The sequence below is a fragment of the Homo sapiens genome, chromosome 6 (genome assembly GCF_000001405.40).
Source record: "Homo sapiens chromosome 6, GRCh38.p14 Primary Assembly".
NCBI classification, from domain to species: Eukaryota; Metazoa; Chordata; class Mammalia; order Primates; family Hominidae; genus Homo; species Homo sapiens.
This window is the reverse complement of record NC_000006.12, coordinates 140,035,272-140,048,831: the sequence shown is the minus strand read 5'-3', so window position 1 is coordinate 140,048,831 and position 13,560 is coordinate 140,035,272. Positions and strand designations below refer to the sequence as shown.

Below are 13,560 nucleotides of genomic sequence, written 5' to 3'. Positions count from 1 at the left end.
CATTTACATTTTCCATTATGCCTTCACAAATGAACAAATAAATAAATTTCAGAATAAAATAAATCATGATCAGCAGCAATGAAAAAGGAGTGCTGCACAACTGAAACTATAAAACATTATTAACAAGCAAAGAAACCAAAATGAAGCAACAGAAGATTCTAGAATAGAGCAGAGCAGTGTGGGCAACGTAACTGGCTTCTAAACTTTCACCAGCATTCTAAAAGTAATAATGCTGAGTTGATAATATACGAATGATTTTCACTGACTGCCAAACTTTGAAGAAGCAAATTGAAATTGTACTCTTGTATTTTTTTTTTCTAACTGAAAAAAAGTGAAAGTAGTTCCTGGGAGGGAGAGTGGAAAGGAGGAAATTAAGAAAAAATGAGGATAGTTAAGTTTGCAGGGGTTCACTGTGGGAACAATATGCAAACCTTAATGTCTACAGAAAATCATGATTTAAGATGTTCAACACAACCTTAGCTTATCACCTTTTCATCTCCCATACTCTCAACTTGTAGCTCAAAGCAACAAAAGTAGATAGCAATCATGGTGGAAAAGAAATAAAAAACTTTTTTTTTTCATTTTATCAGCAAAATTAGGAAATCAGATTACCTCTGCCAAATAATTCACATTAAGTATAAGCAATGCTAAAACAATCTGAGTGCCAACAATTGAAAGACATTATAGGGGGAAAAAATCAATAAATAACTGGTAAGTAAAAAATAGCATAAAATATGCACAAGTCAAGAAAAAACATGTATGAAAAAAGCATAGCACAGGAAGGAAAAAACATCTCCATAAATGCATTGCATTATGCTATAGAAATAGGTAAGAAGAAGATCATTTCAATTTAAAAAAAGAAAATGGAAATATGTTTTAATAGAAGCATCAAGCATTAAGTAAAATTGATGTCCAAAGCAAGAATATTATGAAACATATTAATCAATTTTAAGGAAGAAGGAATACAATAGACAAAGCTAAAATAAAATTGCTGCTCTAAATTGTTTTTTATAATCATAATAAATATAGAGAATGAAGAAAAACGTACAAAAGAAGGAGAAAAGAATAAATAAATACAAAACACTCAAAGCTCATAATCACATCATTTGCCCTTGCTTAAATAGTTTTAGAATATCTGTTTTTTATAAGCTGCCTCAAATATTTTGGAGGAAAGAGGGATTGTAAATAAAAAGTGCAGCAGTTTACCTCTAACAGAGTACAGGGAGGGAAGGAAGGAAGGAAGGAAGGAGGGAAGGAAGGAAGGAAGGAAGGAAGGAAGGAAGGAAGGAAGGAAGGAAGGAAGGAACGAACAATGTGACCACATTCAAGAGAGATAAACCCACTTAAAATAACTGAATTCCTGTGAAAACAAAGCCAACCATGAAACCAAAAACATATTAAAGAATATAAAACAAGAAAATTTTGGTGAGATAATTGGGAAAAATAACTAAAAATAAAAAGAACACACTCTAATCCAGGCAAAATTTTTACAAAACACTTAAAGCCAAAACATATCTTGGTCCACTATTGAACTTCAAAGATAAAGCCTTTTTCAAGCTACCTCCAGAAAACCCATGTCACATACCAGAAGACAAAATCAGGATCCCCTGAAACTTCTTTGCAGCAATATTTGAAGTTAAATCCTACAAAGTTCTGGAGAAAGAAAATGTGTCACATGAATTGTTTATCCAACCAAGTCTGAAAGAACAAAGGTAATAAAAAGGACGTTCGGAATCATATAATAACTCAGAGAACACAGTATCTGAGTGATTTATGCTTAAGAAAACTACAATTAGCCATTAGAATCCACTTTAAAGATTTTGTTATTTTTTAAATAGAAGAGTATTTTAAAAGACTGAGATTGAGTTGAGTTTGAGTACCAGAGAGAATTTGTTTTTAATAATGAAAGATGGATAAAATGAAGGCATTCTAAGCTGGTGGGAGCACAGATAGAAGGGAAGAGATACATTTTTAAAGTTTGCAAACAATAGCAGCTAAATTGGTATTTTCTTGCATGCACAAATCTCTCAGCTTCACAGAAGATTTAGCTATCCCAGTATGCTAACTAACACTTTATATTTGTATACATTCTATACCCATTTTTGTCAACTTCTGAAGCTTGTTTTGTTTGCTAAAAATATTTGCAAGTCAAATCACAACAGTCTTCCTTCCAGAAATTTAAAAATTTATGCAACTTTTAGAATTGGTAATGTAATTTACACAAAATAATTGGAATATCCATTATAACTTTTAAAAATTAATAAAAAGTTTGAGTATTATTTAATTTCTATTCACGCTTCAGGGATTAAAATGCCATATTTTGGAAGGGAAGTTCTGATAACTTTATTACCTTATTATTGCATTGCTGATGTAATGCCATACTAACCAGGCATATTATGTAATGTCATAATTCCCTTGAGGAATTAGCCTAGTTTTGAGTAGGGTAGATAGTTACATTATCTATTGGTTACATTATCAACAGGCTCTGTTGAAAAATTTGCTTTTAGATGAGTTGATAGATTCTGCGGTTGCATATCAATAGGGGTGCTGACTGTTGCATTCAGCCTAATTTCAGCCTTACACAACCTAATTTCAGCCACAGCTGCCTAGATGAAGTAAGACTGTTTTAGTCCCTTGACCCCAGAATGCAGAACTTACCCCTTTTACTAACTTCCATGAGAAATTTACTCATACAGAAGTAATCCGGGGCATTGCAGACTTCAGTGAAGATCTGGATGATTCCAGGATGGAAAGTCATATCTTACAACACAAAGCATTTTCTCCTCTTGCTGAACCTTCTGCCTTTCTTTCTCCCTTTCCCATAGATCCCCAGTCTTTAGGTAGAGCAATTCCCTTTAAACATAGGAGACCACTTGTCAGCCTCATCAAGTCCCGAGGAGATCAAACAAGGCACATGCTTTCAAAAATGGGATCTGGTAATGAAGAATTCTCAGGTCACAGGTGAAGGGAATGTCATTTTTCTTATATTGTGGCAGAGTTAAATATGGAAAACCTCACCTATAGATAATATTCAATACATTCTGCAGTAATTCATTCAAGAAATGTTAACTGAACCTCTATTCTATACCAACCCAATTGTTATAAATTTAATAAAGGCCTCTGTTTGGGGGGAGCTTCCTTTCCCTGTTCTGTTTGTCACTCTAGCTACACATATGAAACCAAGGCAAGAGTGTGTTTGTGTGAGTGCACTTGTGTGTTGTGTATGTGCATTTGTATGTGGTGTGTGTGTGCATCTGTTCATGTATGTGTGTGGGGTGTGTGTGTGTGCTGTGGTGTGCATATGCATGCATGTGCGTATGTGTCTCTGTGTGTTGGTGTGTATGTGTGAGTGTGTGCATGTGTGTGTGTGTGGTGTGTGTTTAGCTCCCCAAATCCCACTTGGCAGCGAAAGATGAGAACATCCCACTGCCTGTGGCTTGTCACTGGGGCCCATGCTCACCTTATTCACCCCTCACCCTAGTTGGAAGCATGACTAATCTGGGATTGGTCTGTAAGAACACATGTGGTATAGCCACTCCCTTTCCCTATTTTTAGATTTGTCCTCTTATGAATCCATATCTTCTGGAACTCCTGCTTCCACACTGTAGGAACATTTGGATCAGGGTCAGGCCTGTCTTCTAGAGATGGATCTGAAGACTCATGTCTCTCTCTGTCCCAAACATGGCAGGTAGATAAGGCAGCAAATCTGAGTAAGTATGTCTTCTCCACAGACTCAAATAGGCCTTCAGCTAGGCCTTTCAAATCCATCTGGCTTGGGAGAAATGATAGAAAGCCTAGTATGGCTATATATTTATGCCACTCTTTATTCCAGTTTTGATAGCAATAAACCTAATAATTTATCTCAATCTGACTTTTTAATCTACTTTCAAAAATTTCTTCCTAAAACACAGGAAAGATGTATGTAATTATCACTCCCTAAAAAGGTTTAAGAAAAGATAAAAAATGACACAAAAGATTTAGCTAACTGATTTTCACATTGGCATAATAAGAGGTCCATGAAATTGACCAACAGACCTTTTCCCTTTTCCTCCCCTCCCTTCTTTTCACCTTCCTTCCTTCCCTCCCTCCCTCCTTCCTTCCCTCCCTTCCCTCCCTCCCTCCCCCTTCCTTCCTTCCTTTCTTCCTTCCTTCCTTCCTTCCATCCTTCCCTCCCTCCCTTCCTTCGTTTCTTTCTTTTTTCTTTAATTCTAAGATTATACAGGATTGTGTAGGCTAAATAGAGCCCAGTCCTAACATCCAACTAGACCATGCCTCAGTCATCCTAATCCTAACAGAGGCTGCCCTGTGGTGTCTCTGTGATTGCTGCCCTAGGGCAGTCATACAGCAGCCAGGTATGGGAGTGAAAGTCTCCCCTTGAAAGCTAGCCTTCTGCCTTGAATCTATAACTGCTCAAATATCAGACTATATATTAATTAAGGGTAATATTTTCCCACAATTGTATCCCCAGTTAGGATTCTGTGAACATTCATTAGCTTATATGTTCCATGGTGAGAGACATCTCAAATGTATGACAGGTTTTATTCAACTGACCAGCTACCTCATTGAAGACAGGAACAAGTGATTGGTTCTCCTTTTCTTTGAATTCTCACCCTACTTACTCAGTCTCACATTATAGTTCTGACTCATCCTCAATAAACTTGCCATCTGATTGACAAATCACACTAAATTGTAGCACCGTCTCCCTCTTAAGCTTATATTCTAGAATAGAAGATACTAATGCAGACATTGACATTTATTAAAAAGGCAAAATGATGCATGTTGAAAATAATTTTCAGGAAGCTCAAAGCTAAATTTGATGCTCAGTTTCAGAAGCTATCTTTAGCCTATAAATTCTCTCTTGACCTAGCATAGCCCGTAATCACATTCATTTGCCCTTGCTTGAATAGTTTTAGCATATCTGTGTCTTTTATAAGCTGCCTCAAGTATTTTTGGAGAAAAGAAAGACTATAAATAACAAATGCAGTTTACCTCTAATAGAATACTGTAAGAGTTAAAATATCATAATTGCATTATTTACATGTAATGAATAAGGCACAGAACACATGTGGAAAAAAATAATGAATAAAGATGAAAGGTGGTTTTATAGCTCAAATCTATTTTGGGGAAACAGAGAGATGAGCAGCTTGATCATGTGAACTTAGAAAGGGCAGAACATCAAGGTTATCATCTTATCTGCTTGTGAAAATGATTGCACAATTTTTAGCAAGTGGTTCAGAGCAGGATCTATGTTCAATGACTCATCCAAGAGATGGCCCTTCCATTAACTCCCCAACTATAATACTAAGACATTCATTTAATTCTGACTCACATTGTTAAATGCCACACACTGAATCACCGATCCTACTACATAAAGCACCTGGCTCAAATGTCTCTATGAAATACTTATCCAGGCTGAAAATCTCCTCTTGGGCCTTGGAGACAGTAGTAACTGTGGTTACAGCTAGTTGCCTTGGAAGTCACATATGAGTTCAAGTTCATTGGCTCTCTGGATTCAAGATAAAGCCCAAATAGTCAATGGGTTTTATTTCTGCATGGTGCTTTATGATCCCACTTATACCTTTATTGTGTGCAATAAAAATTCTCAATAATCCCATTTCTGATAATTCTTGCTTTTAAAAATATTTCTCTTTTACTGTATGTTGTTTTCCTACTTGTGTTGTTTTCCACAGGAATGCTCTAAATATGGAAAAAAAATATGCTACAAGGGCCTTCAATTGAAATGCATTCTCTAACTGTCCAGATGTTCATTTCAATGCATGCATCATATAAATCTAAACTGATGAGAACGGTAATGGCCCAGCTCAGTCTGTTTTACTTGGTGAACTCTGAAACACAAATAATAAAAAATGAGCTTTTTAAAAAAAGTTATGAGTTTTACCAGCTCAAGAAAAGAAAACACCTTTTAAATTTTATTATTTTGATTTTGTGGACAATAAAGTTGAGTAGTCTTCTTACTATATAACAGACAAATATTACCTCTGTTTCAAAACCAGGTCCAAAAACTCCCTCTGTAATGAGGCTATGTTTGTAAAAAGACAAATAAAAATCCAAAGTAATCCCAGAACAAATATCAAAATATGACCGTAGTTTCTATTGCTTTTCTTTCTAAAGACTTTAAGAGATACTCTGTATCTTTACATTATCTTTTTACGCATCTCAAGTGTGGGCAGATGTGATTATTTGTATTTCTTCCACCTCTGAGAATTTACATGAAATTATACAAATGCCATATAATACAGCTTCATTTGCTATTTGATGTCCTTTGAGAGACTGGAAGAATACACTTCAAACAAGGCTCAGCATCGGTCCCTCATAGCACCCTTATTGTGGGGTTATCAAAAACAATCATTTCTTCTGATTAATAAATATGGCTAGGAATCCTCAGAGGTGGCTTCTATTTAATAGAAGGAAAGGGTGTCCCTGATGCTACATGATGTAGCTGGTCTTGCTGTAATTTCCACTCTGGGAGCCAGAGAGAGAGCAGCATCTATCTCCTCACTCTCACCCCTAGAGTGAGGCAACCTGAAAACCTGCAAATGTCCCTAGAGCAACCTTGCTCCTGGGCCTTCTGAACTCTATGCTGTCAATTGAGGTATAGTGCTGCATTGCTTATGTTTGACCCAGATCTTCCCCCAAAGTATAACATTTCCTGTAGGTGTGTTTGAATGAGGCTCTTAACCTTGCAAATGCAGCTGCTTAAATCATTTCCATAGCAACAGCCAGAGTTAACACCTACTCTGACCCACAATTCCCCAGAGCTGGGTTGCTAACATTGTACCCCAAGAGGAGAATATTTTCAGGGATCTTACCTTACACATCATCAACAGTAAATATTCATTTGTTCCTGCCTTATGCCAGACACTAAATTCAGCCCATATTTATAGTACTTTAGGAAAGTCAACACATGTAAGAAAAACCTTGATTAACTCTATCTGCCCCTAATCATTCATTCATTATGTATATGCCCTTGGCCACACCAAACTCAGTTTTCTATGAAAATATTCTTAAGGCTTTTCATGTATGATTCTTCTTCTCTAACCCCTACCCCCTGCACTACTAGATTATGAACTCTCCCAAATGCAAGGGCTGTTCAAGAATCTATTTTTCTTCATAATCTTTCAATGGCTCCTAATACAGTGCCCTGGACGTATCAGATTCTTGATGACAAACAGCTAAGTCAACAGAACTGGAAACAAAAGAAGATTCCTTTTAGCATGGAAGAATAGTTGCTAGCTTTCTTGGCTCAAGGAGAGGCATCAGGTTCAGTATTTATAATAGTAAAGAGTATTTGCCATAAGTCCATTTATTGTTCTAACTTGATTAACTCAAGAAGTTAGCCAAATGAAAATGATATTCATGGTTTCATATACTGCCAAATTAGCACTGTCCTTTGAAACTTTAGGTAAAAAGGTCTTGAAAATTCTCCTGGAACCACTGAAATAAATACCTTTAAAATCTGGAGGTAGTAATTTATCTTGTGGCACTAAAATTAAGTATGTGGTTATGATCTGGCACAATGACATTTCCCTGGATAAGTCTCTAAGTCTTTGGGACAATTTCAAAGGAAACTGTCCAAAGGCAATGAGATGGACCAAAAGCCTGCAGCCTTCTCTAACCTGATGATTATGTAACACATAAAGGCAGTGTGAGTGTTGTGGTCTTGGCATTTATTCTAGAAGCACTACAGCACATCTTAGAATGCAAGAGTCCTTCATAGATCTACAAACCAACAACAACCACCTTTGCTCTTATCTCAAGCAGCATTTGACCTGGAGAGGTTGCCCCCTCTAAGAGCATCAGGGCTCTTCTCTGCCTAAGGGAATATCCTCAGTTCAGCACCCCTTTCCATGCCTCCTCCATTCCCCAATTTAGTAAAAGACTGGAACAACTTTGGCATTTTCATTTTAACACCTTCTTCTACGTGTCCAATGAATGATATTTTAAGTGTTTCTAAATCCCCAAGTCTACTCATTTTTTACAAACTCTTCTCATTAACACTTTCTCCTGGCAACTCCTCATATATGTATATATATACTACTTAAGTAAAAGGTGCCATTATTCATTTCCACATTTTCTCATGGCGGGATAAATCCTGGCTTCAAATATTCAGATTTACTCATGAACCTGGTGGGCATCTTTATCTTCCCACACTAACAGCAGCTTCCTATTTTCAAGGTAACATTCTGTTTACTATATAGAATGCTGCTGAAGTACTTGTGATCTCACTATGAGTAAGGCAATTACTCAATGTGCTTCTGAAACTTTTTGAAGAAAAGATTTTGTCTCTCCTCCCTGAACTGACCAGGTTGATCTTCCCTGGTCCAGAGGTCTGTACACATACCTCCAGGAGCAAAGCTGGGCCTATTTTCAATCTGGCTCTATAAATATTTAATAAAGAGTTTGAGAAGAGACTGACTAGAGATCCATCTGTTAAACTGCTGGATCCATACCAGACACCATGAATTAACTACAAAATAGGTCCATTATATTGTCAGGGTTCGATAGAGGGCCAGAGATATGCAGCTGATCCCACATTCTGAATAGACTAATGTTGAGATAGGAATAAGGCAGTCAACAGTAGATGAATACAAATTCTTCCATAAAATGAAGTTAATTCCTTGTGCAAATCAGTTAGCAATGATTCGACCAGTTTAAAACAACACAACTAACTCTGATGTTTTTACAATAAGCTATCTCAAGCTGAGCCAAAATTCTCAAAGTCTGATTTCAATTGCCACTAGCTCCTGAATATTGTCATTCCTCGACAAATGAAAATAGACCAGAAGAAATGCAACAAAGATAAACTAGATGTATTTGTTCTTTCACAGTCATTCAACTCCTAACACTTTATAAAATTAATGAAAATAATTTTAAAAACCAAACATCCAAACAACCACAAATCAGACTACCACGGTGCTTTGCTGTCACAATATGAAAGGTGCTGTTTGTATTCTGTAGAATGAAGAATGTCAGGATTTTTGATATAGCATTGATAGTTCATAAAAGGTTATGTCAACCTCCTTTAGAGCAAGTGGATCTATTTTAATATGGTAGGTGAAGGATAGAATACACGGATACCAGGTTCTATCCCTTTTAAGCTTTCCATCCTGTTTTTCTTTCCAGGGACAATTTAAAATAGAAATAAATGGGCTTAAATAAAGATAAGTGTCAGTTTTTGTCCACTCAGATATTTTTTTTTCTCATATCCTCATTTCTTTTTCTGTCCTTAACCCCAAATGTTGAGAAAGAATACTTCCACCCAAGGCAGCAATAGGTTCCTATTTCTGGTCAAATGTCTTCCATCCCTTTGCCGCTTTCTAGCTCTTTTTTTGTTTCATTTTGTTTAAGCAATCATGTCCTTTAGGCATTAAAAAAAAGAGTAGCATCTATTAGAAGACTCTCCTAAGGCAATTTTTTAAGGGAGGGAGACAGAAAAAGTACTTGACACTGAGAAAATAAGAAAATAAATTAAAGTTCTTGATTGCATTCAAATTCACATGCTAAGAAAAAGAAATTGACTCTTTTTTCCACTCACAGTCTTAACCCATGTGCACATACCACACATGCATACATACACACACATAGCAAAAGCACACTTACATACATGTAGTCACACTGAAATGAACACAAACCTCCTGCAGCATTTCAGGTAAAAGTTAAGAAATCTATTTATCCCAGATATGTGGGATATATACATATACAATCTTACTTTGAATGAATAGATATATGTTCTCAGAACAGATATGTTCCTAGAGTAGCCTTTGCTATTCTATTGATATAAGGCCACCCAAAACCCCATCAGTAAACAATCTATTAGCATTTGTACAATGCAGTAAGCCCATTTTTCATGCCATGTTATGATTGGGCTTTAAGACAACAGGAGAGTGAAGGAATTGCAACCCCTACGTAAAGACTGTCTGGTGGCTACTGGACCATATTGTACATTTGAATATATCTGTTTTGAGACTAAAAGTTCTGTAGTATGGATGAAAACAGATTCTCACCATTCAAGAATGATTACAGCTCCATTTGGTTGTGGCCCCAAAGGATAATAACAAAGCCCTTTTTCAATTTAGGATTTTAGAAAGTAAAGCTGACAAATAGGTATGGATCATACTGTCAGAAGGAATATCTGTATTCTACAGCACAGCCCTGTTTACAGCACCTGAAAGCTTCTAATAGAAGCACAACTTTGACAGATTGTAATTTTAAGACTCTTTGTTATTACTCTTAAAGAATAAATGAAATAGTGATGCTATTATTAAAATTTTCCAAATCCTAGTCCAGATTTGGGAAGTAAACGAGTAAGTTCATTGACATAGTTCTCTAATTTGTAAGATTATTCTACAGTCATTATAACACACATATGCATAAAATATAAGGTAATGACACAAAGAGGTTGTTTCATGTCATTGGACCTGCTCTGTCCTTTGCGCTGGGAAATGAGTTTCCTGGGGAAGAAAGAAAATCAAGCTCTTAGATTTCTCTTCCAGATCTAACATGCTAGAATTGAGTCTCTTTTCTCATGCATCAAGTTGCTGGATGTAAGATGTCACCAGCTCAATGGCTGCCCATACAACTTACAAATGTCCATCGGGTGTAACAACACAGGAAATCAGTGCCACAGCACCAAGAAGCCATGCATGATGACCACACACTTTGATACAGCTCTGGGGTCTGCCGTGCCACAAGCTCTATCCCCATGTTGCCTTCCCACCTGGACCTCTTGGCAAGAGGGTCACAAAGTTACCATGTATTAGATCCTGAGAGGGTCACAGGGATCATATAATCCAACATTCTCATCTCATAGATGAGGAAGTGAGAGCTACGTACTGCATGGCATTCCTGAGGTTTCACAGAAAATTTCTGTCAAAGTCTGGACTGAAGCATATGATTCCTGAAAAACAGTTTTCTAGAATCTTACTATGCAAAGCATAGTGCTCAGAGCAGCAGCATTGGGAACTAACTAGAAATGCAAACTCTCAGGATTTGCTTTATACCTACTGTATTAAACAGTAGGTATAAAAACAAAGAAACAAAATCAATAAAATATATGTATATATGCCTATGTGTGTATATATACATGTATATAGATCTATTTTTATATATATATATATATATATATATATAGAGAGAGAGAGAGAGAGAGAGAGAGAGTGTGTGTGTGTGTGTGTGTGTGTGTGTGTGTGTGTGTGTGTGTGTGTGAAGAGACTTATTTTAAAGAACAGGCACATGCAGTTGTGGGAGCTGGCAAACCTGAAATTTACAGAAAAGGCCAGCAGGCTGGAAACTCAGGCAGGATTTCTATGTAGCAGTATTAACAAAGGACTCTATCTTCTCTGGGAAACTTTGCTTTTTACTTTTTAGGCATTCAATTGACAGTGCATCATGGTCCATTAACGGTCCATCCACATCTCTGGTGGCAAACTCCCTTACTTAAAGTCAACTGATTATATTAGTCACTTCTACAATCCTTCATAGCAACATCCAGACTAATGTTTGACAAAAACACTGGGCACAATAGCTTAGCCAAGCTGATAAATAAAATGTATCTATCACCTCTACTGAATCAGAATCAGCATTTTAACATGATCCCTAGGTGATTCTTGTGTCCATTAAATTTTGAGAAGCTCCCATTTTGCTGTTTATAAGTTTTGGCAACATCAAAGTTCCACTGTTATAACAGAGAGACCCACTGTAACAGTGCATTAGGTAAGTTAGAAGTTTATTTCTCCCTCATGAAAAGTTTGAACATTACAGTCTGAGACAAAGAAGGAGATCTGACAACCTCCAGGAACCCAGGACTCTTCTAACTTGCTGCTCTGCCATCTTTAATGCATGGCTTCCATTAGCTGGGCCAAGTTCATTGTTTCAGATCTTGCCATCATGCCTTTGTTCTCATCAGGATAAAGAGGGAAAACAGCCAGAGAGGGCACAATTATTTCCTTTAACTATGTGACCCAGAAGTTACACTCATCTCAGCTGTTCAAATCCCATAGTTCAAAACTTGGTTATGTAGCCACATATAGCTGCAAGGGAGGCTGGAGAACATTGTCCTTTTACAGAGTGGCCAATTATGCAATAATAATTCAGTAAGATTCAAAATTCTGTAATTAAAGAAAAAATGGGAGACTGGTTACTATATAAGACAGCTAATTATTCCTGCTCTTTATTTTTCTGCACCAGGCTACCTGCAAGATGAGGAGACAGGAGAAGCAGCAGAAGAAAGGAACCAGATTTCCTGCTTTCTTCTATAGTGAAGAGAATTGAACCCAGAGTATCACTTGCATAAGGAAACAAGACTGTTGGCTGCTCATGCTTTCATTGCATTGATTAGCTACTTCCTCAATATGGAGCCACCCTTGACAAATGCAGCCAGAATGTAAGTTTTCCTTCACCGACGGAAGTAGCTGTGGTAGAAGAAAGATAATTCTAGACTCTGAGGGTTTTTGGGGGGGTTTTGTTTCGTTTTTACATTTCATCACTTACATTTCCTCATTGTCTTACAAGAATAACTCACTTCTCCCAGTTTCCAAGGTCAAGAAGAAATATCAGGAGAAAATAACTCTCTAGCTCAATTTTTGTAATTCTCATATTCCACATCTGGTGATAAAATCATATACTGCCACTTTTAAAGTTTATGCTGACCATCAAACTCCTTATTTCCTTTCCTTAGGCAGAAGTCTCTGTGTCTGGTGGGTAAATGAGAAGTATGCAGAGGTATGCCTAAGGATAGTTTTAGGCAGAAGAGTGATGTTTGCATAAGTATATTTTTATTTAATCGACGAAAGAAGGTTGACACAAAAATTACTTAATAATAGAAGAAAAATCTGTAAAAATATATCAATTTCTCTTTGCTACTACCTCCCACAATAACACATACACAAATTTCCTTCAGAGACAAACAGCATATTGTGCAGAATTTGCTGTAACCAAGGTAACTAAACATTGTTCTCATATCAACTTTTAAGACGAAAAAAACAGGCATTGTTGTATTGAATGTTTCTTTGTAGTAGTGTTTATTGCTATGATATTTCCTGAAATTTTCAATATTTAGGTTTACATCAGGCTACTTGTTTTCTTCTAGGCACTAACTATACCTTTCAACAGGTAGTTAGAGGCATCCGCATTATAGGCCAAAGTGTTTTTTGAACCAAACAAATAAAAATGTATCAATGACAGGATTCTACTTATTTTCACATCTCTATAATAAGAGTATTTATTAGCATAACAGAATATCAATTTGTAGATGCTATATATTAATTTCATGGCCCACAAGAATAAGTGTACATACAAAGAATGATATATACAGTATGACATTATCAATAACTTGCCTGTTTACCATTTTATATAAAACCATTTGACATCTCTCTCACCAAACTTGATTCATTAATAATTATCTCTCATCTAGTTTTTTGATGAAAAAGAATGAGAGAGTTCATCCCAAATTTTATATAACTTTATATGAGGATCATTTCTCCCAAGTGGATATAAAGACATCTTTCTTAATGCAGATACTCTTTCAAAGTTTTCATTTAT

General features: G+C 36.4%; 2 long non-coding RNA genes across 4 annotated transcripts in view; one reads left to right on the top strand and one right to left on the bottom strand.

Moving 5' to 3' along the window:
- The window catches only part of LOC107986652 (uncharacterized), a 56,727-nt gene extending 44,164 nt beyond the window's left edge, over positions 1-12,563 (top strand). For both annotated transcript variants that reach the window (XR_001744384.2, XR_001744383.2), the window contains one exon: positions 12,208-12,563. This is a non-coding gene — a long non-coding RNA (uncharacterized LOC107986652). The remainder of the gene's footprint in view (positions 1-12,207) is intronic.
- LINC02941 (long intergenic non-protein coding RNA 2941) overlaps positions 1-13,560 on the bottom strand; it is a 117,403-nt gene that overhangs the window by 44,890 nt on the left and 58,953 nt on the right. The window lies entirely within an intron of this gene.